The 27,118-nt window shown below is 37.7% G+C and overlaps 1 protein-coding gene across 16 annotated transcripts in view, besides 3 other annotated features; it reads left to right on the plus strand.

Annotated features, from left to right (window-relative positions):
- Positions 1-27,118, plus strand: part of GAB1 (GRB2 associated binding protein 1) — a 137,690-nt gene that overhangs the window by 56,223 nt on the left and 54,349 nt on the right. For 10 of the 16 annotated variants that reach the window (NM_207123.3, NM_002039.4, XM_017007969.2 and 7 more), the window contains exon 2: positions 22,379-22,673. In NM_207123.3, the coding sequence (NP_997006.1) occupies positions 22,379-22,673 (295 nt within the window). Of the gene's footprint in view, positions 1-1,718; positions 5,811-9,792; positions 9,952-22,378; positions 22,674-27,118 lie in introns of those variants that run through there. The other 6 variants (XM_047449969.1, XM_017007966.2, XM_017007968.2 and 3 more) reach the window with 3 other exon arrangements.
- Positions 11,433-11,492: an enhancer, noted in NCBI's record as "active region_21943". NCBI's record gives its function as "activates an Ori minimal core promoter by ATAC-STARR-seq in GM12878 lymphoblastoid cells {active_cell/tissue: GM12878}" and the evidence as "EXISTENCE:reporter gene assay evidence [ECO:0000049][PMID:35858748]".
- Positions 11,613-11,732: an enhancer, noted in NCBI's record as "active region_21944". NCBI's record gives its function as "activates an Ori minimal core promoter by ATAC-STARR-seq in GM12878 lymphoblastoid cells {active_cell/tissue: GM12878}" and the evidence as "EXISTENCE:reporter gene assay evidence [ECO:0000049][PMID:35858748]".
- Positions 11,743-11,822: an enhancer, noted in NCBI's record as "active region_21945". NCBI's record gives its function as "activates an Ori minimal core promoter by ATAC-STARR-seq in GM12878 lymphoblastoid cells {active_cell/tissue: GM12878}" and the evidence as "EXISTENCE:reporter gene assay evidence [ECO:0000049][PMID:35858748]".

Consider the following 27,118-nt stretch of genomic DNA (forward strand, 5'->3'; position numbering starts at 1 on the left):
ATTTGTCTAGATGAAAAATACTAGACTGGCTCATATGAAATGATAAAATTGTAGACCAGGGTAGCAAACTATGGCCTGTGGGCCTGATACTGTTTAAGAAGGTTTTTCACATTTACAAAGGTTTTTTTTTTTAAAAAAAAAAAAAGAAAAAAAAAGAATATGAGACAGAAACCATGTGTGTAGCCTACAAAACCTAAAATATTTATGATCTGGCCCTTTACAAAAAGGTTTGCTGTCCTCTGTCATAGACAAATAGTACAGTGTTAAGTGGTTAAGGGCACAGGCTCTGGGTGAGGCCAGACTACTAGGTTCAGATCCTGGCTTTACTATTTCCAGTATGACCTAGTCAAGTTACTTAATGTCTTTGTGACTCGTTTTCTCATCTATAAATGGGAATAAATTACAGCCTACCTCATAGGGCTGTGATGAGGATTAAATTAATGTATAAAGTGCATAGAACAATGTCTGGTACTTAATGAGTATTCAATAAATGTTAATAATTGTTATTGCATTGGAAAAAATCTTGAAAGATCATGTAAACTAATTTTGGCTTTCCAGTGGTGAGTGTCCGCATTATTAAAGACCATTTTTCTGATTTCTGCATCAAGAGTGGAGGGTCATTTTCTTTTTAATGGTGCCTGCTTTACCCAAAAAAGAAAAGAGAGGCCCATAGTCAAATGTAAAAAAATGCTTGAAAACATAAAAAACTGTAACCACAGCTGCTTTTTAAGAAAAGGACAATCAAAGCTCTTTGAATTAAATGACACTTAAAAAACAGCACAAAGATCCTTTTACATACTTAGGACAAGCATAAGAAGAAATAAAGTGGAAATAAAAGATGTGGAAGATAATGTTAGAAGGAAGGGGAAACAGGAATGAGAAAGGTAGTCAGCAGCTGGGCGCTGTGGCTCACACCTGTAATCCCAGCACTTTGGGAGGCCAAGGCAGACAGATCAGGAGGTCAGGAGATCGAGACCATCCTGGCTAACACGGTGAAACCCTGTCTCTATTAAAAATACAAAAAAATTAGCTGGGCATGGTGGCACGTGCCTGTAGTCCCAGCTACTCAGGAGGCTGAGTCAGGAGAAACACTTGAACCCGGGAGGTGGATGTTGCAGTGAGCCGAGATCGTGCTACTGCACTCCATCCAGCCTGGGGGACAGAGTGAGACTCTGTCTCAAAACAAAACAAAAAAAAGGTAGTCAGCAGAAGAGGAGAAAGATTCGGATCAAAAGGGAAGCTGGAGGTTTTTCAAGGAAGTCCAGTGTTGACATCCCTCCTTCCCTTGGGAACCCACCTCAGTTAATCTGTGTGTCCAATTTAAATGCTTCCATTTGAAGAAAAGCCTGACTTGTTTATTTTCTATTGCAGAAATAAATTTTTATCATCAAGTAATATTAACTGAATATACATTATATGTAACTTGTGTTCCCTCAGAAAACTGATCACATGTATACAAAAGCATCATATTTTGTATCTTTATTTTTAGGTCAAGCAATTCTGTACCCCTTAGCCACTTAGTTTCATCATCATCATCAAACATTTTTTGGGTTCCTAAATATGTTTCTTCATGTTTAATACTTCTTTATTCTGCTTGTTCTTTCAAGTAGGGAAAGGACAAACTTAATTATTTACAAAATGTAGACGATGGTTAAAAAACAGGAAAAAAATTTAATGAAGTGTAATTCATTCTCTCTTTTTCCTTCTTTTGTACTCAGGTTGTTTATTCTGTTGATGGATATTGGACTGGAGTGATGAGTGTTCTAGGATGGGTATTTGATGATGCCAGGGGACTCAAGTAATGGCTTTGCATGAAGATTACACAGTAAAGCTGCACATTGATTACCTCATCTTATTAGCTGATGGAGATGTTTGAGAGGACAAGATTGCAGGGCTTTCAAGCCTGTACAGCTACCAGGATTTGATCCTAAGAGCTTGATCATTGTCATTGCCCATAGGGACTGTGTTAAGAATAGTGGTGGTTTACTACTTAAACGCATGAGAGTGTTATAACAGTTCCCTATGTCTTTTGAATTGTTTAGATAAGGTTAGGACTTTCAGATCAACTTGAGTTTTAATTTTTAGCATTTATAGAATTCTAAAATTAATCCTGTTTGTTTTTGTCTTCCTCCACTAAAATTTAAGTTTGCTGAGGTAGACAGTTTTGTTTCTGGAACCACTATCCCTCCAGCGGCTAGAACAGTGGAACATGTTCAATAAATATTCAATAAATATTTTTGAATAAGTGAATGAATGAACAGGTTAAATGTAATCTTTATTTTTTAATGAACTATCCTTTCCAGAGACATACAAATTGCCAGTTGATGGCATTTTTTATTTCTTTTTGTAAAAAGAGTATTTTAAAATTTGAATGAGTTCTATCTAACAGATAACACAGTTGAGTACATTAAAAGGGACCTTGAACACAAAATCCATGTTTTCGTGGATTAGTATTTTTGCAGCTTAAATGGTGAACGATAGGATTGTTAGATGCAAATAACTCTGGAAATTAAAGACCTTTAGTTGTAACTCTCCCTAAAATGTTTGTGAGAGCTTGTAAAATGTTGTTCACTTTATTCTATTATAAAAGGGCATTATAATAAATATGAAGTTTTGAAACCATGTTCTTTTAAATGAGGTGAATTATAGAACTCTGTTATTAGCCATTATGCTGTGCCCCTTCTTTTAAAGCATATCCCTCCACATACCCTTTCTAAGGACTTGGGGGTAACAAAATGAGGAGTAAGTGAAGAAAGAAGAAGGCACAGCTTGTCGAGATTGATGGACCGCCCCCCGCCCCCGGGAGAGCAGCGTAGGAAATTGCAGGATGAAATTTGTGTGCCAGTCTTGTCAGCACCCATTCCTGTTGAAGGAGAGGGCATATGGATGAGGTGGGGAGGATTCCAGCAGAGGGGACCCAGGAAAGGGGAGGGGGTGGGGACAACAGGAAGTGTAATGGGAGGCTTGGGGAAAGTTGAAGATCTGATAAAGGTAGTTGGTGAGGTGAAGAAAGGAGAATCCACTAAAACTTGACCCTAGGAGCATTCTCCGCCGAATGGCATGGGGTAGTGACCCTGACTCTGGACAAGGAGAGAAGCAAATGTACTCCTAGCCCTACTTGGGACCTTAAGGAAAGACTCATCCATGGCCATGATAGTGTAAATGCTGTTTATTGGTTTTAAGCTCTTTAACTCACCCTTTGGAGTGAAAAACAATAGAAAGTTAAGCTGGTTACAGAACAGACTGTAAATGTTATAAACCTTGAAAATGTAAACTATAGATACAGCAGATGGAAATTAGGCAGTGGAAGGGCATGAGGAGAGATGGGGGGAAAGGATGAAAACTGATTGTTCCAAGGAGCTAGAAGATGCACTCTAAGACTGATTAAAAATAGCAGCTCGATCGGGTGGCTTAATGTCATTCTGGTTGAGGGACTGGAATATGTGGTGCCACTATATTGGGATAAAGCAGGAAAGTGAGATGTCAAGACAGGACTTCAGTAGATCTAAAAGAGGTAAGTCATATATAAGCATATTATTTGGAAATATGGGGTTTCTCTTTCAGTGTCCTGATAAGAGACTGGATTCAGCCCAGATGGTTCAAATGCATACTTTAATGAATGGACTACTTATGGTATTATGGGCTGGTTTACATTCTTGGGGTTGAGGGACAGAGGAAGAAATAATAAATACTAATTTTAAAAACTGTACACAGGCTTATTGAGCACTGAGGCAGTGGAAGAGTGGCCACTCAAGGGTGCAGTGGTCAGGGATGTAAGGAGCCCCTGCTGGAAGCACAGGGAATAAATGCTCCCACTTCTGCCCAAACACAGAGAAAGGCAGAGAGTGAGTGGGGGTTAGGTAAAGCAGGGAGGGGTAAGAGAAGAATAACCAGCAGGGAAGGTAGGTAGAACTTGGGTTGGGGTGATCGTGTTGCCTGATAAACTGTTCTGTACAGTTTGATAATCTCTTGCAGGGAGATGGAATATTTTAATGTAAATATTTGCATTTAGCACCTACTATTTCATCTAATGTGACAGGAGCTTGGTGGACCAGTAGTGACTTGAGCAAGATCTCTGCCGTCAAGTAGCTTATAGTCTGATTGGAAAGACAAGATGCTACCAAAACTAGCAAAAAACAAACAAAAAAATGATTACACATTGTGATTAATGCTATAAGTTTAATTTCAGAGCACACAAAAAGGTTAATCCTGCTTGTATAAACTTAATTCTTTAATAATGATACTGCAGGCATTTTTACAATATAGTTAATTATTTGGGAGTGGGAACAATTCTTTTGAGTAGCCCATTTTGCTCTATTTAACTATAAATACACTACATGCTACAAATCAGATGTACAGATGAAACAGCTGCTGCTTCGTTGTTTTGTTCCTGTTACTCATTTTAATGAATAATTTGAACAGACTCCAAAACATTAAATTATATGTATAAACATACTTTAAGGATTATATCATAATGTTAGTGTATTTAAAACTTAGTGGTGATGTCATTACCTAAATATAGTAAATTTTAAGAAAACAAATTATTTGAGCTATTTTACCCTCTATAAATACTTTGGCAGTAAAACAGACAAGGGCTAAAAATCAACCCAAGCATCCATATCCAAGTATAGAGAGCTGTGAAATTCCCCCACTTTCTTCCTCCTGACATATGAACCTTGATAATTAAAATATATCTTTCCAAGGTCCCTGCATGAAATTTGACTTTTCTTGCCTTTCTAATGGAGATATGAGCAATGGCAGAGACAGGGAAAAGGACTTAGAAGCAGAAGAGTTTTATTCTGTCTTCCTTGATACTTCCTGTGGCTGAAGGGTTTTGTCCAAAGGGAAAAGATAAATGAACAGAGGAAGATAGATGTAGGCTCATTCCTCATGCCTCCCATCTTCCGTAGCATTCACAGCAGTCTGAGAACAGACAAATTCAAGTCCTGGGTTCCTATATCCTGAGCATTTGCTTATTAAAATAAACCTTTGAATACTTCATCTACTCTGATTCAGACTACTCTCTTTCCTCCATGAAAAAGCTGGTGAGGGTGTTATAAGCTGATACTATATACATGTAAGATGTAGTCATGAATCATTGGAAGCTCACTGCTTTTAGAACCTGCCAAAATTACCATACTAATGCACTTCTATGAAGGGTGTTAAAATGGTAATTAAGCAAATAAACTCTGCTTATTTTAGTACCTTTATTCATTTCAGAATATTTTTTGTATGGATCTCTCATTTGATTTTTACACAGTTTTTAGAAGCAGAATTTCTGCTGTTGCAGGGGGAAGTTTTATATGTTCAAGTACTTAAATATGAGAGAAAATCTAGAATTGCCTCTACAAATCATTTTGTTTGTAATAATCATGAGTTACACATTCTGTTTGCTCTAGAAATCAAGAAACAGAATAGTGGATCATTTAAGGCCAGAAACTATATCCACTACTTGTATCTCCCTTTTGGGATGGTTTTCTGATGTTTTTTTCAGTGTGTGTCATTTGTATAACCCTGGCCGGCTGTCTTGAAAATATATGTCACTAATCATGGTAGGGGGTAGGTGGGTGAGGGGGTCATCTGATTGGTTGTTTACATAAATTAGTTGTAGTGTCTGTTATCTTCATATTTAAATAACTGTATATGTTAGTATAAAACTCCAGTATAAAATGGGCAGCTGGCCAGGTGCTATGGCTCACATCTGTAATCCCAGCACTTTGGGAAGCTGAGGCAGGAGGATCGTTTGAGCTCAGGAGTTCGAGACCAACCTAGGCAACATGAGGAAACCTCATCTTTACAAGAAAAAAAAAGTAAGTAAGTAAAATGGGCAGTTGGTTTAGAAGAGAGACAGACAAAACCCATACCCTTTCTAGATAGAAAGATCCCCATCTAGATGAGTGTGCTTTCTGATAGGAGTCACACAGCCATACCTGCCATCACTGAACCATTGTGTCTTTTACTTTACCTGTTCTTTGATTTTGAAATACTGTGGAAATGATTTCTCAGATTTTCAGAGTTGTCTTTATGGAAATGATTTTGTTTTAGTTATTCACGTCTAGGACATCTGAAAACCAAAAGTAAAGTGGCCAGACCATGTCAGTCTAGAAACTAGCAGCCAGTAAATTGTCTTCTTAAATATTAAGAAAGCAATATACTACCTAGATGCAATCAAAGATGTCAGCTTTTCCTTAAAAGGCAATGATCAAAAGTCCAAAGGTGCACAAGGAAATAGTTAAACCTACCTAAGTTGAAACAAAAGTTTTGGCTTTAGGACAAAAGGGTTTAATAGGAATTCACAAGTAACCTTTCTATTTTTGAGTGACTGATTTGCAGTTCAAACTACAGGTAACCTCTTTGTGCTTTGTGTTTTATATTGTTGTTGTGTTTTTGTTTGTTTTCCCACGTGTTGGCAGTGCTTGCCTTTTTTGAAATTTTCCCTGCTCATAAACACTCCACTAGGGGGCAGACAAAAGAATAGAGAAGAAAAGAAACCCATATCAATACACTGCATCCAGTATACATTTACATGACATGTTTGCTGCTCCTTCTCTATACTGTGGCGGAAGTCTTTCTGTTCATTCATCCTTCTTATAAGGGCACTCAAAGTGATTTTTAGCAGTCTTATTTTTACATTTAAAATATAAACATATTTCCACAAGTTAAATGGTAATTTTAAAATTCATTGTCATAGTAATTTTTTATGGTTTTTCTGGTATGTCTACCAGTGAACCACTTAATAACGAACACTTAGTTGTGTATTGATGACTGTAATGATGATCCCTATAGGGTTTATCTTACGTGGAGCATTTGTTTACCCATCCACACTAAATTGAGTCTTGCTCTTTTTTTTTTTTTTTTCGAGATAGGGTCTCACCTGTCACCCAGGCTGGAGTGCAGTGGCGCAATCTTGGCTCACTGCAACCTCCGTCTCCTGGGTGTTCAAGTGATTCTCATGCCTCAGTCTCCCCAGTAACTTGGATTACGGGTGTGCACCACCATGCCTGGCTCATTGTTTTGTATTTTTAGTAGAGACAGGGTTTCACCATGTTGGCCAGACTGGTCTTGATCTCCTGATCTCAAATGATCCATCCTTCATGGCCTCCCAAAGTGCTGGGACTACAGGCGTGAGCCACTGTGCCTGGCCTGAGTCTCTACTTTTTGTCAGGCACATGTCCAAGTTTTGAGAACAGAGCAGCAAAGAGAAAGAGCCTGGATGGTAGAGTGTGAAAAGGGGGGTGGTTATGGCTGCCTCCTAAGCCATTTGGTGAAAAGACTAGGCTGTGAAAGGAAACGGAAGAAATTCTTGATGGCTAATGCTGGGTGGTTTTTATTTCTAATTATTCCTTATAACAGCTCATAATGATTAGAATGCCATATGGAGCTGGAGTTGGGGCTTCACTTGTGAGAGAATAAGCTCCCCTTCTTAATCTATGCCATGTCTAGGGAGGCTAGCTGAAGACTTTTTATTTTTTATTTTTAATTCTTCCTTTATCTTTGCTCCAGCAAGAATCAAATCCAGTTACCAAAAATGTATTTACTTCAGCCAACCTGGGGTTACAGAATCTTTAAATGAAAATGTTATTGCTTGGCTGGGCGCGATGGCTCACGTCTGTAATCCCAGCACTTTGGGAGGCTGAGGCAGGCAGATCACCTGAGGTCGGGAGTTCAAGAGCAGCCTGGCCAACATAACGAAACCCCATCTCTACTAAAAATACAGAAAATTAGCTGGGTGTGGTGGCATGCACCTGTAATCCCAGCTACTTAGAAGGTTGAGACAGGAGAATCACTTGAACCTGGGAGGCAGAGGTTGCAGTGAGCTGAGATCACACCACTGTACTCCAGCCTGGACAACAGAGCAAGACTCCATCACAAAAAAAAAAAAAAAAGTCATTGCTTTGCCTCTTTGTGGTCAGTTATTCAACAAAATACAGAACGGTGTTTTTGTTTTTATTTCTTTTTTATATCATAAAATTTATTTTAACTACGGATGTTTTGTTTTCTCAACTTTCTCTCTAGTTTGGAACAGTTATCTTTGTAGATAACTATAAGTAGATTGTCTAGTAAAGTTTTAAAGTATAAACACTTGAATTGCCTAGGAGTTAAGCTAATTTTTTTTCTGAGACTGTCTTCAGGTTACAATGCTTAACATAAATTGAAATATCAAGAGATCTTTTTTTGGAATAAATTATTCATCTGTTAGATCTAATAAATCATTCTGCACACTGTGAGATTGCAATTGTTGGTAAACAAGGTGATAACATTTCTGTTGAGAGGATTATACAGATTTGTTTTAGTCATTATTTGCTTAGAGCATCAACTGCATTCTGTACCAGATTGGGCAAGGCCTAACAGAACATTCATTGAGTGATAATTAAATATCTTAAATGCTACAATGTTTTGGGGATGCTGTGTTAAGTTAGAAAGTAAATAAATATCTAGTGTTTTTATAATCATGAAATGCATTTTCTTTATGGGTTTCAGGAAGCATTTCAGTTAGGACTTCACCTTTCCCTCCGTAATTCTAGCATGGTAAGCAAGACTTGGAAAAAGTCACAATAGGTGGAAAATTAAGGAATTAAAAATTTAAACCTGCCTCAGAAGGTTGTATGGCTCCTGAAACCAAAGATACATTCATCCTTATTTTAAAAACTAGCTACTTAAAAGTATGTATGATATGAATAAAGATTAGATGAGAATATGGAGAAATAGATTTTTTGATGCTGGCGAGATTATGTATAATTTTCGCCTTCACTTTTCAGTTGACGTTGTTGCTAGTTATTTATTTAAAATAAATTTGTTAAAGTAAATGCCCATATAGCTTACATGATTTTTTTCTGGAGAACACTTTCCTTGGATATTGGGCAACCTTCAGAAATAATAGACTCCACCACAGTACTTTAAGAGGCACAGACATTTAAAATTTATGATATACAAGTATAAGCTAAGTTTATGTTTGCAGGGTTTTTTTTTTCTCTTTAACAGCTGCTAGAATTTTAAGATTTCTTAGAATTAAAGACGAGATAAAATTTAAACCAATGCTATCCAAAAATTAATATCTAAGAATAACTTCGCATAAATTATAGAGACCAAATAGGCTTTTGTCTACACTAATAAAATGTTCCTTTGAATCCTTAATAATCTTAGTATAACTGCCCTAGGCGATCCAGGTTGATTGAAGCATTATGGATTTTAGTTGGAAAATTTTCCCTGTGTTTGATTTAGAATTATCTAGCTTTTTCAGGAACAGAACAATAAATAGAATTGTTGTCTTTAACATGCCTACCCTTCTGTACCAGCTGGGATATGAGGACTTTTATCTGTGTTCATAGCATATATATCTGTGTTCCACTTGACTTCTGGTCTCCTTTTCTCTATTTCACCAGCATGTACAGTCTTAGGAATGAGGAATGGGGAAGAGATCACTGGATTAGAGAGGGGATGTGTTGAGTGGAAAAATACAGGCCAAATAACTTCCTTCAGAATTTCGTGAAGGTCAGGTCCCATCACAAAGGGTTGGAGATTTGTGGTATTTTGAAGCCCTCTAATTAAATAGGGGAATAGGTACCATCTTTTCCTTTCCTGTTCACCTTTCCCTGTTCTACCCTTCTTCGTTCTAGTTAAATACCAGCAATTGGATATGTAAAGTAAAATACTGAAATGTGAAATTCTGTGGTGAAATGTGGGATGTCCAGATGACATCTCTGAAAACCCAAAGCCAATCCCTGTGCTCCAAACTGAAGGTTTATATTTAGAAGACAGTGCAGATCCTGTATTTTTAAATTGCTGTAAACATGTTTATGTGGTTATTTTTAGCTTTTACAGACTTTAGTGAACTTCCAAGTTGGCAAGTCAGACACAGTCGGTTGTTGTCTGTTACCTCAGATGCCAGCACTTTCTGAATGACTCTGGTTGTCTCACTGGGTTTCTAACATGTTGAAAGCAGATGAGTGTGTAAGTTATCTTGTGTCAACTGCACATGGTCTATCTAATCTATCTATATGGGTGATTGTATTACTATACATAGTGTACTTGTTTTCTTTTTTCTTTTTTTTTTGTTTTTAAGCTTTTATGAACTGGTAACAATTTTGCTTGGAGCTCAAGATGAGTTGGGTCCTGCCAGATGGCACTGTTATTTCTCTGGCAGAAGTAGCTAGTTATTTTCTCTTTTCCTTCAACACTTCTCTCCTTGTCCTCAAGCATTAAATCATGCATATACAATACAAATCCTTACAGCCGCTGTTATTTTCAGTCCATTGTATCTATTTCCTGTTGACCGAAGGTTATGAGGCTTGGGTAGTGTAGAGGGAGATGAAAAGTTGACAGAAAAAAGAAAGCTGGGCTCATTTTAGGGGCAAAACACCATAAAATGGGCAAGATGGCACTTGGATTTATTGAAAACAAAAAGAAATAAATAGGCAATCGTCTTTCTTGTATGGTGAGATCATTATCTGCATGGTGCATGCATGAAGAATCGTTTTCCTCCAAGAATCGTGTTTTATGAAAGGGTGACACCCGTAGCCCTCATGGGGAAAGAGGAAGATGTCATTATTGGCACTTGGGCTGAGCCTTCCACGTTTGCATCAGAGATCTTGATTTCATTATCTGTGCCATAATTTTTATCTTGCATTCAACCTTGTACTTAGTCCTTCTCTTTAGATGAAGTTATTCATTCTTGCTTATTGGACTTAATGTAGTTTATAGTCAGTAGCTCCAGAAGGCATAATTTATCTCTTTGGAAGGATGTCTTTCTAAAGAAACTTTTCATTGCCATATATCTTGTTCTGGAAGCTTTAGACTGAGATTTATGTTAAGAAGAAAATGATATTTAAGCGTTATTTTGGCTTTTTACATATAAATCTAATTATGGAAATTTGAAATTTGATTTGTAACACTTCAGTGCTTTCCCTTTAGTTCTTAATGTGAAAGTGTTGTTTTTAAACAGTGATCCAAATCTTAATATAGCAGTGTTTTATTTTGTTGTAAATTGTGAATGTTTCATAAGAAACTAAGAAAAGAAAATGGGAATGTTTTGTTTTGCTGGAAATTCAAAACAGTAGTTCTAACCCAGAAATAATTATTTTGGATTGGATAGCTGAACAAGAAATGGAATTTAGAATCAGTACATTTTTTGAAGATAAATTTTCATTGAAAAATTCTAGATTGTCATTGGCGTATTTTATTAATGATCAGTTTTATTTAAGCAACCATTTCCTTTCCTAATCATGACAATAACAACATATGGGACACATTTTTAGGGTAGAGTAAGTTTGTGGAACACAGTGAAACTAGGAAATAGACCCACATGCTTGTTAGGATCTCAGGCACAACTGCTTACAGTAGCATTACACAATTTAAATATTTGTTGTGGATTTTATTATTAAAGCTGTACCTGCTTCAGCAATTGATCTTGCTTGTCTCTTAAGTTGAAGAAATATCCTTTAAAACTGCACTGTCCAGCCTGGGCAACCCACTGAGACCTCATCTCTTCCAAAAAATTGAAAAGTTAGCCAGGCGTGGTGGCATGCACGTGTGGTCCCAGCTACTGGACAGGCTGAGGTGGGAGGATTGCTTGAGCCCAGGAGGTTGATGCTGCCATGAGCCATGACTGCTCCATTGCACACAGCCTGAGCAACAGAGCGAGACACTGTTGCAAAACTGAAAACAAAACAACTGCATTGTCCATATGATAGCTTCTAGCCACATGTGGCTAAATTTAAATTAAATAAGTTAGAAAATCAGTTCCTCAGTTGCATCAGCCACTTTTCAAGTTTTGTAGTCACATGTTGGCTAATGGATCCTGTGATGGTCAGCACAGCCATTTCCATTATCACAGAAAGTTCTGTTGGACAGCACTGCTCCAAAACTGCAATTAGAATTTGCCTCTGTGCAGGAAAATTTTATGTCTTTAATTTGAGAGATAACATGAATTTTCTACTGCATAAACAATATTTATTTTTTCATGGTCTTGTTCTTTATTTAAACAAGACGTTATTAAACATCAAATGGACATTGACATTATACTTCATAGCATATGCCATTTTGTTCTTATTCTCTGTGATGACGTTACATTCTACCCTCTGAGAGACTGGGAAGTCATTACACACACACATACACACAAATGTATGGATATATAGAGAGAGAGAGAGACTATGTAACTGTGTATATATACATAAAAATGCTAACATAATATTCAATGACTGAAATGTGTGGGCCTTCTCATAGTAGGCACTGTGAAGTTGTAGGTTCCTAATATTAACATATTGGCACGGTTTCAGTCCCAGGGTTCATAATTGACTTATTCCCTGATTAAGTTAGTTTCACTTTTTGTTCACTGAGCCTTGTGGGCTGGAGATTTGAGAGTTTATGGCTGAATTCTTACAACAATAAGAAAACCCACTATTGGTTTGTTGTATCATCCATTATACCTGAAGGCCAAGTTAGTGAAGAACAGAGACAGCATCATTACCAAATGAATTAAGACATTCATTCATTTGTTCATTTATTCAGGCAACAGTTATCACCCATGCCTTTTAACCACCAAGTCCTTGCATGCTGTACACTATGCTGAACACTTAAAGAGAAATAAGACAGAATCTTGGGGGAGGAAAGCAGTTGTACAAAGGGTTGATTGAAATGCCAAGGTAGAGTGCTATGATGGAGGTTTGCACAAGGTACTGTGGACATCTTGGAGTAGTCAGCTTGACCTGGCCGAGGTGACAGGGGAGCCAGAATTTGCAGAAAGAAAGGTGTTGCCAATATTCCTTCACACCAAATTCCATCTACTCCAAATGGAAAAGATGAGTTTCTTGCCATGATCTCTCAGTATTTTGGGAATTTTGCAAACCATGGGGAGAAAAAAAACTCTTTAAAAAAAAAAGCCATTCCTAAGCATCACTTTGATGGCTGTGTAAGACTCCTGTATGGTGGTATATCATCGTTTATTTACTCAGTTTCCTACTGTGACTAATCATCTGGGTTTGCCCAGGACTGAGCCATTTTCTAGGATGTGGGACTTGCAGAGCTAAAACGAGGATAGTCTTGTGAAAACTGGGATAGTTGATCATCCTACCTTCTACTGAATATTTAGATCATTTCAAATATTTACTTACAGAAACAATACTGTGCTGAAAATTTTGGTGCCTAGGTATTTAGCCACATTTTTTTTTTCATTATTTCCTTAGGTGAGAGTCGTAGAAATGGAATTAATGGCTCAATGACTGTGGACATGTTTTGGAGCTCATGGCAGTGCTCATGGTTCTTTATTGCATTTTTTGCTGTATTCAGCTAGACTGGCAGGAGTCTGCCTGGACATTTGCACCACCTCTGCCTCCGCAAGTTCTTAGGGAGATGAGCCAAAGACTTGTTCTTCACTAGCTGCAACTTGTGTTCCAAATCTTTAGCTGGCCAGATTGCATGTAAACTCCAACTAACAGAGCCTTGGCCAGAAGTAGGCCAAAAGCCAGTCTCAAAAGATGGAGTGAACTCTGTGTCCCGATTTTCCTCTGCCCACATCCTGACCTGAGCTCACTGACTCTGACTGCACATGGTGGTAAGAAAAGGGTGAGATCCAGTGGACCCAAGGCCAGTGGCCTTTCTTCCCAGTACACACAGCTGTGGGTCACCCCAGGGCACCATCCGACTCACATGGAACATTGCATGTTTAACTTTGTTTGGCTCCCAGCCAGTTTCTCACTTTTTCCGTCTCCTCTTGGTTAGGGTAAGAAAGTTTGCAAAACCACCAGAGTTAGAGTGTGGGCACAGCCCCAACAATTGGGAATATGAGGACAGAAGTGAAATGGTACTTTCAAGTAAAAATATACTTAGCTTGCCCCACAGTGCTGTATTTAGAATTAATACAGCCATGAGGTGACATACTTTCCTGTGGAACCTAATAAATAAATTTACCTAATTGGGGTCCAAGGCAGACCAGCCTCATACCAAATTGTCTCTGTAGTAAGATGTATTAAAGTCAAGTCCTATTTTCAGGGTTCTTAACGTGTTAACAGGGGTCCTGTGAAACCTTGAAACTATACAATATTACCTATATACCTTTTTTCTAAGAAAAGTTTTCATTGCTTTAATCAGATGCTCAAAGCCGTCTATGACCCAGAAAAGGTTTAAGAACCACCTATGTATATTAAATACTAAGGGGTTTTTGTCATTGCTTTTTTTTTTTGGCTTTTTGTTTATTTTATGTAGTGCTTATGCCTAGGCTTTGAGGTAGGCATTAATTTAGCAGTAATTTCAACAAGTAAATTATATGCACTATTACTGAGAATTCAAAATTCCTGAACTCTTTCCCTAGCTAGTATAGTATTTCTGAGTCAAATTTGATTTTTTTCCTCTTATGAAATTGTTTTATTTCCAACTAATTTGTTGTATCCAGGCAATGTACGTAAACTCTAATATCTTAAGTTTATGGAACAGTTGAAAGCTTAGATCTAGGCATTGTTCTGCATTATTTTCAGTGTATTCTTTTGTTTATATTACTAAGCTAAAGTTAGCTCGGATAGCACAAGGCTAGAAAATGGTGACAACAGTTTGAAAACAGGAAATTTTAGGCTTCTGTGTGTTTGGAACAGATGATCATAATGATAGAGCCAGTGGAGTGGAAACTTCCACCGAGCCTGTTTTTTCCTTATTTTGCTCTATGAGAAAAGATGGTGCTTCCTGGAAAACAACTCAAGTATTTTAAAGCAAATGGTTTTCCTTTGTCCCTGCTTCATGGTTAATTTGTTTTTCTTTATTTTATTTACCCTAGTAATAGTATTATGGAAATATTTTTAATAGGCAAAGTAATTCCTAAAGTGCTTATTTTAGATTTTTAAATATTTCAATGTATTACCATTTACTGCATGGTTTTTAGAGAAAATTAAAGCAATATATTATAATGACTTTAAGGAAAGAAAAATAAATTTATTCCTCTATTTTAAGTGTTCCCAACTTTTCTTGTTTGTTTGTTTAACCCCCTAAGTGCCAGTCTTTAAAATAAAGTCGTGACTCTTTATCTGTCTAGGCTGTTTCCTGGCTGAGACTCCTTCCACATGTATCCCGGAATTCTATATTTAAAAGAAAGGTTAAATATCCATTCACTAATTGCAGAGTAATAATAAAATAGCATTTCCATATACACATAAACTTTTTGTTTTGTGCACATCATTCCTAGGTTATTTTAAACATACAATTTTTTAAAATTATAAAAGCAATAAATGGAAACATTTTGAAAAAACAAAGTATGTAAAATATGAGACTCATCTGGCCCTTTCATCTGACCTATTCTTAGTTATCAGAGTTAACAACTTAGTATGTGTCCTTCCAGACCTGTTCTCTAAACATAGTGTGTGTTTGTATAAACACACAGTTTGTGCTGTGTTTGTACAAACACACAGTTATTTCACACAAATGGAAGTATATACCATGTGTACAATTCCGCACCTTGTTTTTTTTACTTAACAGTTATCTTGTGGGCATTGCTCATGTATATATATCCATGTCACTTTTTGAATGAATTGCCTAGCTTTATTGTGTAGATGTCCCATAATTTATTTGACCATTATCCTGCTGATAAAATTTAGATTACAACCTATCTTATCAAAAATAGCATTTTCATTTTGTGAAACGCACATCTTCAACCCCGACATTTTACAGATTTCTGAGAGTATATTGAAATTTTGAATTCTACTAAAGAAGTCACAATAATGGTCTTTCCTTAAATATCAGTTGTGAAATACCTTTTAAGAGATTTCAAAATAAAAAATTCCGCTCTACTTTTTTCCCCACACTTTCTCAGGAAAAGAGCGGGTTAGTAAAATTACAGTGGTGGAGCTTCCTGGTAGAAGGGAAGTTGGCTCAGGAATGTAGAAAGTATTGCTCTTCAGCTATCTGGACAAGGTATACTTTGTTAGGGCTTAACAACTACCAAGAGACCCCAAGATGCAGTCAGCAGAGTTCTTTTTCAAGTGCTTAAGGGAATGGGCTTGTTAATGGACTACTTGCGTGATGTTGCTGAGAGCTCAAAGGAACAGGAGCTGATGCCTTATCTCAGGGGAAGTTGAGGAAAGCTTTAAAGAACAGGTCTTGAGCTAGGTCTTGAAGGATGAGTAGGAGCTCATGGTGAGGGAAATAAGGTATTTCAGACTGAAAAAGAAACAAGGACCATGTGGGTGCTGTCTGAGGCCATCTGTGGAGGTGAGAGATTGGAGAGATGAGACAGGTAAGTATGGTTTTGAAGAACCTTGTATGCTATCTTACTGAAGGAGTTTGGACTTCAATAACAACTTTGAACTTTCCCCCCCCCCGCTCTGAAATCTTTTCATTTAGTCTCAGTGGCTGTCTGTGATGATTATTCTGATGGACAACATCTCACCAAGGCTTTGAGCACTTACAATGCATGAAGTGCTGTTGCAGATAGAAAAAAAAAAAGGAATTAGCTTTCAAGGAGCTTAATGTCCAGTTGGGAAAATAATTCATAAGTATTTGGAGAGTTTGGAAATGTAAAATAATAGACTGTTCCAATCTATTCTACAGCAATGCAAGAGATATTACAGAGCAGTAATTGATTGTCAGTGGTAGGAAGGTAGGGTGTGGGGAGGAAAGGGGAAGGTTGGGAAAAAAGAACCTTGAAGAATGAATTGGGTTTGAAAGATATTTGCTAGTGGTAAATATTGTGAACAAAAATAGGAAGATAGAGACAGCATTGGCATGAGCAGAAGATATTAATATAAGAAGATGAAGAATGAGACGTAAGCTTGAAAGGACCTGTGTTTGTTTTGTTTTGTTTTGTTTTTGAAATTTTACTTTAAAGAGCAATATAATCCTATTGATTGGATCTATGGTTCTTAATCATGGTGGCACATTAGAATCATCTGTTGAGTGTTTAAACCTGCCTATTCCAATCTTCACCCCACCCCCATACACTACAATTTAGTTGGCTTAAGGTGAAACCCCAAGCTTTTTTTTTTTTTAAGCAAAGCTCTCCGGATATTTCTAATGTGCATTCAGGGCAGAGAACCCATGGACTACCCCCGACCTCTTCTCTGATCTTCTCTCTTGCCTGCCCATATATTGGCCACTTCCTCAATAATTAGCTCTTCCAGTAAAGGTACAGGGAAAAGATGAGGGAATTTTGGCAAGCATCACACCAGGCATGTGAGCTGTCATTTATACCACAGAGAACTCACAAAACAGGGTGTACAGCAGTTACAATGTTTTTCTTTAAAGCTGAAGCCATTTGCTAGTTAGGTTAATTAGGCAAAATTTGTGAATTTGTTAGTAACGTTACAGCCATATAGGCAAAATTTGTGAATTTGTTAGTAATATTACAGCCATTAATGGCTTGGGGTTAATCCAGGTTAAAAAATGTTTCCTTCCCACCAAATAGTGGGACTCCCATCTGTACTTTCTTGCCAGTATGTACATACCCATACTCTAGGGTGTGTGATAAGCCTGCCTTAAGACCTAGCTTCAGTGTGACAGTTCTACAGGTGAGCATATCCAATTTGCTAAATACAGGAAATGTTTAAAAGAATAGTTCTTTTAAAATGATGTTTAAAAACATCTCTCTTATGTCTGTAGAGTTTTAAAAACAAATTAATTTGTTTACACACCTCTATGCTTGCCTGACCAATTCTTGAATGGGCTGGGCAGATCGCAGTTATATCACTATCCCTGCAATGCATAAATAGTATGAGAACTTCTGTATTTTTAATCCTTGCCTCAAACATTTTGTATTGCGTATTTAGCAGACATTGACTGAGCACCTCCTTGGCGCTAGGCAATGGGAAAGGAAAGAAGAAAGGTTAAAATGGCTCCAGCCCTCAGTACATTCAAATGCACAGATGTCAAATGATTTAGGAAAAAGGTGGAAATGGAGAGCTCAGAGCCAACTCGGATGGTGCCCCGAAGAGGGCTGAGCTAAATCTAGGGGGTAGATTTTGTGCCAAGGGGTGAGAGGCAGGACAGAGCAGAGTGTTTGGGAAACTACAAGTATTTCCAATGTGGTTGGAAGGCAGAGGGGCAAGAAGTGACGCTGGAGAGATTTAGGGGTGGAGATGGGGCGGGAGTTGATTGGAGGGTCCTGTGTACCCTGCCAGAGTTTGGGTTTTATCCTGTAGGCACAGGGGGCAGTCACTGAGCATAGGGAATTGGCTTCAGAATTTGGTACTTTTAAGTTACCCCAAAATCCAGACTTAACTGTTGACTTCTTGTTAACAAATTATTTGTTCAACTCAAAATTGGAGTGACTATTGCATATAAGAAATGGCTACAAAATAAGTTTTTACATAGTCCTTCTCAACTATGCAGACATCTTGCAAATTTCAGCTTCTTCATTACCTGCTCGTAATGGAAGTCTAGTCGTTAAAATGATTTTTTGTGTGAATTTCTTTTAAAATTACTTTGAGTATTTGGTTTTGAAGGTTTCTAGAAAGCCTGTCCTTTTTGTCTGCTCCTGCTCTGCAGGATTGGCAAGGCAGTGTACGGCTTTCTCTGGAGCTACCAAGGCAGCAAGGATAAAAATAGGACAAACTTTAAGAATCTCAGATATTTTCAGATAACAAAGACTGATTTATGTGGGCCCGTTTTGTGCTCTGACAAAACATAGAGACGCTTTTGTGCTGTGATTAGCAAGGGTGCTGATGTCAGTTCTCTTGTCGAGCATCAAGCTTTATTCTGTGGCTAAATTGTGCTTTGTACCATAATCCAGAGAACCTTTGTATCTGCCTTATTAAAGTGTGTAGTTTATGTAATTGCTTTTGTTTTCCAGCTTAATCTGTGCCAGATTCAATGAGGGTGACTCATTTTGTGACTGAGACAAACATTCACATTTGGACCATGTTAAAAATAAATAAATAAATGGCAGGTGCTGCTTGGCTAAATTCTGTGTTTTAATGCTGTAATTTCCTGCCGTAAGGGTTCACGTCTTGTATAATGTCTACTCAGCCTCTGTAATCACTAGCCCAATATATCTAATGCACCTCAATTCATTGCTACTCATTTCTTGATTATTTATTTTAGTTCCTAAGGGCTTTTTGAATTGTAACAATGTGATTTCAACAGGGAAGCCAAGGAATGGATGGGGGGGAGCCACAGTTAGCCGGAAAACAAAGAGTGACACATAAGCTGTAGCAAAAGGACATGTTCTGTGCTTTTCTGTTTTTGCCATTTTCCCAAGATGTTTTGTGCATGTGTTTTGGTAAAGTTGTCTTAGTTATGTTTATTTTATTATGTATATGTTCAGTATTGGAGCTCTTTTTCTCAAGTGGAAGATGCTTTGAAAGCACTCTCTTCATTGTGGCCCATGTATCAAATCTAATCTCAAAAATTTTACAAGTCTACTCTCTCAGGAGAATTCTGTTTATTTATTGTACAGATATGCTATGTACTAGGCACTGTGCTATGGCAAATAAAGCAGGCGTGGTCACTATCTTCTTGAACTTTTCAGTCTGTTTGGGGAGTTACGTACTACACAAATAAATACAAAGAAAAATTGAATTGCAAAATTACACAAATCACTACGTAGGTAAGTAATAGGATCTCTAAAACTATGCTATTAGTTTACACTGGAGTTGGTTGCATTGAGGGTGGTCAGGGAAGAGAAGCCCTGAAGGTTGGAGTTGGCCAGGCAAAAAGTGAGGGAAAGAATATAATGTATTTAGGGGAAAACATGTGCAAAGTCCCTGAGGCAGGTAAGAGTTTAGCCTCCTATAAACCCTATTATTGGAGGGGGAAAAGTGACAGTTGATGGAAATTGAGAGAAAAAAGACAGGAAACTGTATTTAAAAGATGAACTATACAAGCATAGCAATATGGTACTATTTATTAATAGTATAGGGGCAAATGACACTCTATACAGTGCAACAGCCTCTGAGAGTCTCCTGAAGTGCAGTATAGAAATGGATGCTTACAATACTTAGTCTGAATCATTGGGGAATGGATTATGTTTGGTGAAGTATGTAGTAAAGCATTTTAGAAAGATTTGCGTGCAAGACAATAAAGTTTTAAAAAGTCATTTCTGTATTTAAAGATGAAGCTTCACTATCTGGAGAAATCACTTACTGAATGATATGATTTCTTGAGGGCCCTGCATAAATAACATCATATTTTATATTCTTTTGCTTTACTTCTGCATTACTTTTTAAAGCTTACTGCTTGAGAGGGAAGTATCCATAGAGGGATAATTTTACTAAGAGATGATATTTATTTATTTTGCAGTAAGTAGATGCATATTCAATGAATGGATTTTTATAGTCCAGAAAACAGTGCTAAAATCATGTGAATCCAACACTTTATGACTTTTCAATATTATCTAAAACATCTATAGGACTCTACCCTGCCTTCCCTGGACACAAATTATATACTTATTCCTTTGAGCTGCGTGAAGAATGAGAAGTTAATTTAAAATGTTGATGATTAAAGACCTATATAATGTTTTTAGGCCTTTGTGATCTCTGGTCATCCTCTTGTTAAAGGATTGCCTAAATTTTTCTGTAGAGGAATGCTTGTTCATGTAGCAATACCTCTGCAGACATTTTGCCTGGGTTGCTGTAGTCTCAAGTATTTTCATGTATGTTAAATATTTTTTTCCACAATTAGTCAATTCTTTGAAGGTAGGAATAATGAATTATATACTTGTTTTTCTTCCCACAAGTAGCAAAGGGAATGTTTTATTCCACTGGGGGTTTTCGAGTCCTTCCACTTCCCAGAGCATCCCCACCACCCCGCTGCCCTTTTTTTTTTTTTTTTTTTTTTTTGAGGAGGAGTCTTCTTCTGTCCAGGCTGGAGCGCAGTGATCTCAGCTCACTGCAACTGCCAACTCCGGGTTCAAGCGATTCTCCTGCCTCAGCCTCCTAAGTAGCTGGGATTACAGGAACCTGCCACCACACCCAGCTAATTTTTGTATTTTTTAGTAGAGACGGGGTTTCACCATGTTGGCCAGGCTGGTCTCGAACTCCTGACCTCAGGTGATCTGCCCACCTCGGCCTCCCAATGTGCTGGGATTACAGGCATGAGCCACTGCACCCAGGCCCAGAGTGTCCTCTTGAGGTAGTCTTACCTAGAATGTTGAATCTGGAGCAGAGAATGTTTCTTAGTAAATGACTGAGACTTGCTAAAATAGGCCTCTTTTCTGTCTAGCTGCCTCCCTGAGGAAGAATTTCAAAGAGGAGTAAGGTGTAAGTTTGTTTCCAGGCACACATGTTGGGGTTAAAGGCTGATAAGGAAGGCTGTTTGTCATTTGGTTCTGCTTTTATTATTTGGTGACCATAGATTTAGGGAGGGTGATAGTAAAATAATTTTTTAGGCTTCTCTAGGTATAGTATTAAACTCAAAATTTACCAGAACTTGTGGAGGGGGTATGTGGTGAGTGTATTACAGATTGCCCATGTATGTTTGTTGGGAAGAGGAGGGGAAATATTAGAAAGAGTTAAATCCCATACTCAAGAATACAGGTCTTACTCGTATAGTCTTTGAACAACAGGCTGTGTGGCTAAAAGAGAGACACAATCAATTGCTTCCCAGTCAAGAAGCCAGAAAAGCTTCAAAACCTTTCCCCCTCCCTACTCCTTGCCACCGCACCTAAAAAAAAGAGAAATCTTTTAAGTGTTTAAAATCTGTAGGAGTCTTATGAAGAAGCAGCTTTATGTGTATTCTTTATGGCATAATATTAATGCATGAAAATCTGTTGCTTTTTTAAAAATTGTGGCAAAATATACATAACATAAAATTTATCATTTTAGCTATTTTTAATATACAATTCACTAGCATTAAGTATTAATACATTCACAGCACCATTGCAACCATGGCCACCATCATCTCCAGAACTTGATCTTCTTCAACTCAAACTCTAGGCCCATTAAATACTGTAATAACTCTCCATTTCCCACCCCTCCCCCTCCGCAGGGCCTGACAAATACCATTCTGCTTTCTGTCTGTATGAATTTGACTACTTGAACTACCTCATATAAGTGGAATCATACAATATTTGTCTTTTTATGACTGGCTTATTTCACTTAGCATAATGTCCAGCTTCATTCTTTTGCGTATGGATTTCTAGTTTTCCTAACACCATTTGTTGAAACCATGACTTTTTCATATTTAGTAAAAACTGAATCCTCCTTGATGTATTGCCTCAATATTATATAGTAGGAGATTTAATCGAACATACTGAATATATATATACATTATTAAGTTAATTGAGTTATGAGTAAACGTTGCTTTTCAGAGTGGCAGATTATCCTGTGGTAAAAACACACACACAAACACACACATATTGTGACTTTCTCTAAACAATGCATTTGTAAAATCAGTTTGATAAATGTGCATCTTCTTGAAAACATTATCTCAAGTTAATACTGAATGGATATTTTTGTTTTGTTTCTAGGCATGGAAGAGGAGATGGTTCGTGTTACGCAGTGGCCGTTTAACTGGAGATCCAGATGTTTTGGAATATTACAAAAATGATCATGCCAAGAAGCCTATTCGTATTATTGATTTAAATTTATGTCAACAAGTAGATGCTGGATTGACATTTAACAAAAAAGAGTTTGAAAACAGCTACATTTTTGATATCAACACTATTGACCGGATTTTCTACTTGGTAGCAGACAGCGAGGAGGAGATGAATAAGTGGGTTCGTTGTATTTGTGACATCTGTGGGTTTAATCCAACAGAAGAAGGTAAGTTCAAGATATTACTATTCAACTTGAATTCTTCTTTTCTGCTACATTTCCAGAAATGTCATACAATTCTTTGTTATTTTAGTTACACAATATAATGTTTTATTTTTATAATAGGAACTTGACATTTGGAAAAAGCACTGAATCCTTTAATTAGTTTGGGGAGAAGCTGTTTACCAGTTTTAGAGCGACAGACTTAGACATATTGGGGCAGTTTTTAAATATCCTGAAGTAAAAGGTGACAAGAAGACATTTTAAGAACATTTATTGAATTCCAATATAAATATTCAGTTTAACCATATAACACTGTTGATATTTTACTATTTTTCACCTATTAAAAAATAGCACATTTGGCCGGGCGCGGTGGCTCATGCCTGCAATCCCAGCACTCTGGGAGGCCGAGGCGGGTGGATCACGAGGTCAGGAGATCAAGACCATCCTGGCTAACACAGTGAAACCCTGTCTCTACTAAAAATACAAAAAAAAATTAGCCGGGCTTGGTGGCAGGCACCTGTGGTCCCAGCTACTCCAGAGGCTGAGGCAGGAGAATGGTGTGAACCCGAGAGGTGGAGCTTACAGTGAGCCGAGATCGCGCCACTGCACTCCAGCCTTGGCGACAGAGCGAGACTCCGTCTCAAAAAAAAAGCACTTTTATGTAGCTCAACCCAATTCTTTAGGTGCTATTTAAAAATATATTTTAAAACTATATTAGATTATGGCCGGGCACAGTGGCTCACACCTATAATCCCTGCACTTTGGGAGACTGAGGCAGATGGGTCACTTGAGGTAAGGAGTTCTTCAAGACCAGCCTGGCCAACATGGTGAAATTCCATCTCTACTAAAAATACAAAAATTATCCAGGCATGGTGGCACACGCCTGTAGTTCCAGCTACCCAGGAGGCTGAGGCAGGAGAATCGCTTGAACCCAGGAGGCGGAGGCTACAGTGAGCCACAATTGCACCATTCCACTCCAGCCTGGGCGACAGAGCAAGATGCCGTCTCAAAAAACTATATTAGATTATCCCATTTATGCCTAGTGTTCCATTATTGGAACGCTAAGCATGTGGGAGTTATTTATATCCCACTGCTCAAGGTCATCGCCAAGGTCTGATTGCAAACATTCAAAAAATTGCAACCTCAAGCATAAATAGGTTATGAAGTTAGGAAATAGCCAAGGTAATTATCATTACCTATGAAATGCAAGTGAGAATCAGTCACAAAACACAATGAACAAGTACCAAACAAATGAATTACTTAGCACAGGTCCTACAAGGAACATGGAAGAAGAAAGAGGGGCTCAAGGTTTGGGTAAGAGGTAGTGAAGGAAAGCTTCTGAAAGGAAAATAAATTGCAAAATGTAGGCTTTTGAAAGAAACAGTATTTCTGTGTAAATGAAAGGAGGGACGCAGAACCCTCCAGGCTTAGGGACTTAGGAAAGAACAGACCCAGAGAAGGAATCGAATTTTACTTGACTGGGGCAGTAAGGCTCTGAGTGAAAAAGGCCCAGGGACAGTTGCTTACAAATCTTGAATGAGGGACTGAGATTTGGGGTGCCTATCCTGGAAAGAGCTGAGTGACTAGAGGGCTCAAGAATTTTACAAGTGGAATTCTACCTCGGGTACTTTTTTATTATTATTATTATTTTCTTTTTTTTGAGATAGGATCTCACTTTGTCGTCTAGGCTGGAGTACAGTGGCATGATCTCTGCTCACTGCAACCTCTGCCTCCCAGGTTCAAGCGATTCTCGTGCCTCAGCCTTCTGAGTAGCTGGAATTACAGGTGTGCACCACCACACTGGGCTAATTTTTAATATTTTTAATAGAGATGGGGTTTCACCACGTTGGCCAGGCTGGTCTCAACTCCTGGCGTCAAGTGATCCGCCTGCCTCAGTCTCCCAAAGTGCTGGGATTACAGGCATGAGCCACCACACCTGACCTCGGGCACTTTTTAATAGCTGGCTGACCACTTCTTCTCTCTGCTCTTCCTTTTTAAACAAACGCTCAACATGTAGGTAGGGGACTCCAGTACAAAGTAGTTTTGTAGAGCCAAGAATCAGAAATAAAGGTGAACTGTGGTCTTTGACCTTCTTGTCTTTGTGGTTATACTCACATTTAGAAGCGTGCATTTCCGAACATCTACATTTAGGAGTGCTGTAGATACCATAAGGAGTGGAAAATTGTGTTAATAATCAACACCAAGATTCGGATTGAAGTGGAGCTAATCATCTCTAATGAGCTCAGGCCAGCGTGCCGCTTCCTCTCTGGCCAGTCAGCAGCCCTGGGGAAAGGAGCCTGCCAGGGCTGGGGTTTGCCCAGTGGGGTCGGGGAAACCCCTTAATGAGGGCGTTCAGAATCTCACGGGAACAGCAGTCTAAGAGGGAAGGAAGGGTCCAGCTTAGCTGGGAGGGGGCTGATGAAATAGAGATCTTCAGCAGAGCTCTAGTGATTAAAAACCTCAAGAAATTGTTTCACAGGAGGAATTAAGGGTTCAGTTGTTTTCGTGAAGTTACTAAACGTGGTCACAGTGTAAGTGGGCATGGGGGTGCTACTTCTAACTTCAGTTAAAACCCTTTCCTGTTTGCATTTATAGTTTATATTTGAGTGCAGCAGAGGGTTTCAGAGTTAAAATTACAAATGAGGTAGCTCTTTTTAATGGTTAACATCTAGTCAGTTGATGTCAATGACATCAATGATAATTATTGGATTTAGACAGCACATTAGTTTTATTATGTGATGGATTTTCAGTTAAAATAATTTGTCATTTTATTATCTTCTTCTTGTTCCTTTGCCTATTGCCTTTTCAATGTAGAATTTGTTTGGGGGGACATAAGGGCAGACTTTTGTCTCTGTTGGTTGTCTGTATAGATTGAGCTGATCCAAAAAGCTAAATCATAGATGTTCTTCCACCTCTCTTACTTTTTTTTACAATGCTCCTAAATATATTTACAAAGGAAATGAGATGTTCTCATAGAGGATGTGCATTCTTCAGTCAAGGAATATGAGTCTAATTTTTTGAAGCCTATTCAAGGGTGGGTAGGGTTGAGAACCCAAAATAAGAATTTTTAATTCTCAAGTGTCTGAGATTAACTTTGCAAGTTTTAAGGCACAGCGTCTTGTCTATTTGGCCACCTTAGGATGATTCTTATCATTTGGGAGCCTGACAAACACCCACTCTGCTCTGGGAAGGAAAGCTTGGTATGCTTTTAGAAAATTGATTGATTAGTTCACCAAATTATTTGAGTTTGCTGACACTCTACTAGGCTGTGGGAATTCATTCAGCAAATATATATTAGGTGATTAGTTAAGGAGACAAAAGGTAAACATCACAGACTGAGCATCTAATGGGAGAGGAGTCATTAAGAGAAATATCCAAAATAATTCATTGTAATAATTGATGAGTGCAAGTTTATATATACATATGTATATATAAATTATGCATTAAAATATATATACAGTGCATATATATATGTGTAAAAGTATAATTCTATGGAAGTTTATGAATATAGTTCTTGTGCTCATAGAGCTTACAGTCAGTCTAGTAGGAGGGACAAATAATCCAGGAATTATACTACTGATTCATAAGCGCTCTGCTAAAGAAGAACTAGATAAGCATAGTTAGCAGCAGCAGTGATCTTTTCAGTGCAGAACTCCCAATTCCTTACAAAATAGATGAGAGGTATATTTAGGTTGAGTGTAACTCTTGACTTGTGAACTTTTCATCTTTACAATATCCATGGTTGGGAAAGGGTTGTAAGAAAATTCACAGTATGATTAATCAGATTTCTTATATATAGTCTGTGAGTTGGCTACCAAGTACAGCTGTGTTAATCACAAGTCATTTTTATGTGTTCATTAATAGATAAAACAAGTATCTAAGGACTTTAATCTGCCAATACGTTCTACATTGAGGTCATGAGCTATATCTAAATGCAACTGCATTTATTTTTTAAATTCTATGATTGAGATTTTTCACAACTTCATCCTGGTTATTTCCCCAAATAGCCACATTTAGAAGTGTCTTAATATACTGTGTTGAAGTATTTGTTGAGTTTCTTGGAATAAATCTGTAAAGCATGAACAGTTCTTCATTATGTAGTATTAAGCAGCCAAAATCATACTTTATTCTGTAATTTTGGTTTTTGATCCATAATGGCGAAACTGCAAAAAGACTCTCAAAGTTTTTCAGCCATTTAAGTTCTAAATAGCAGAATACTGCTATTATCCTTTGTAATCATATTCATACAGTTTAATATGACAAGGTAAACATCAAAATGCCTTTGTTCTTCCACTGACTTGACTACCTGTTTTATATTCTCTTGTGTCCAAATAGATGTCACCACCAATCACTAAATAATAGTTGTTTTTGTTTTTATCTAGATCTGTCCCAAGCCTTCTGCTCTTCCTGTTTGAGAGAGCTGACTGTCCTACTGTTGGCTTGAAAATTAG

This window comes from Homo sapiens, chromosome 4 (assembly GCF_000001405.40).
Source record: "Homo sapiens chromosome 4, GRCh38.p14 Primary Assembly".
Classification (NCBI taxonomy): Eukaryota; Metazoa; Chordata; class Mammalia; order Primates; family Hominidae; genus Homo; species Homo sapiens.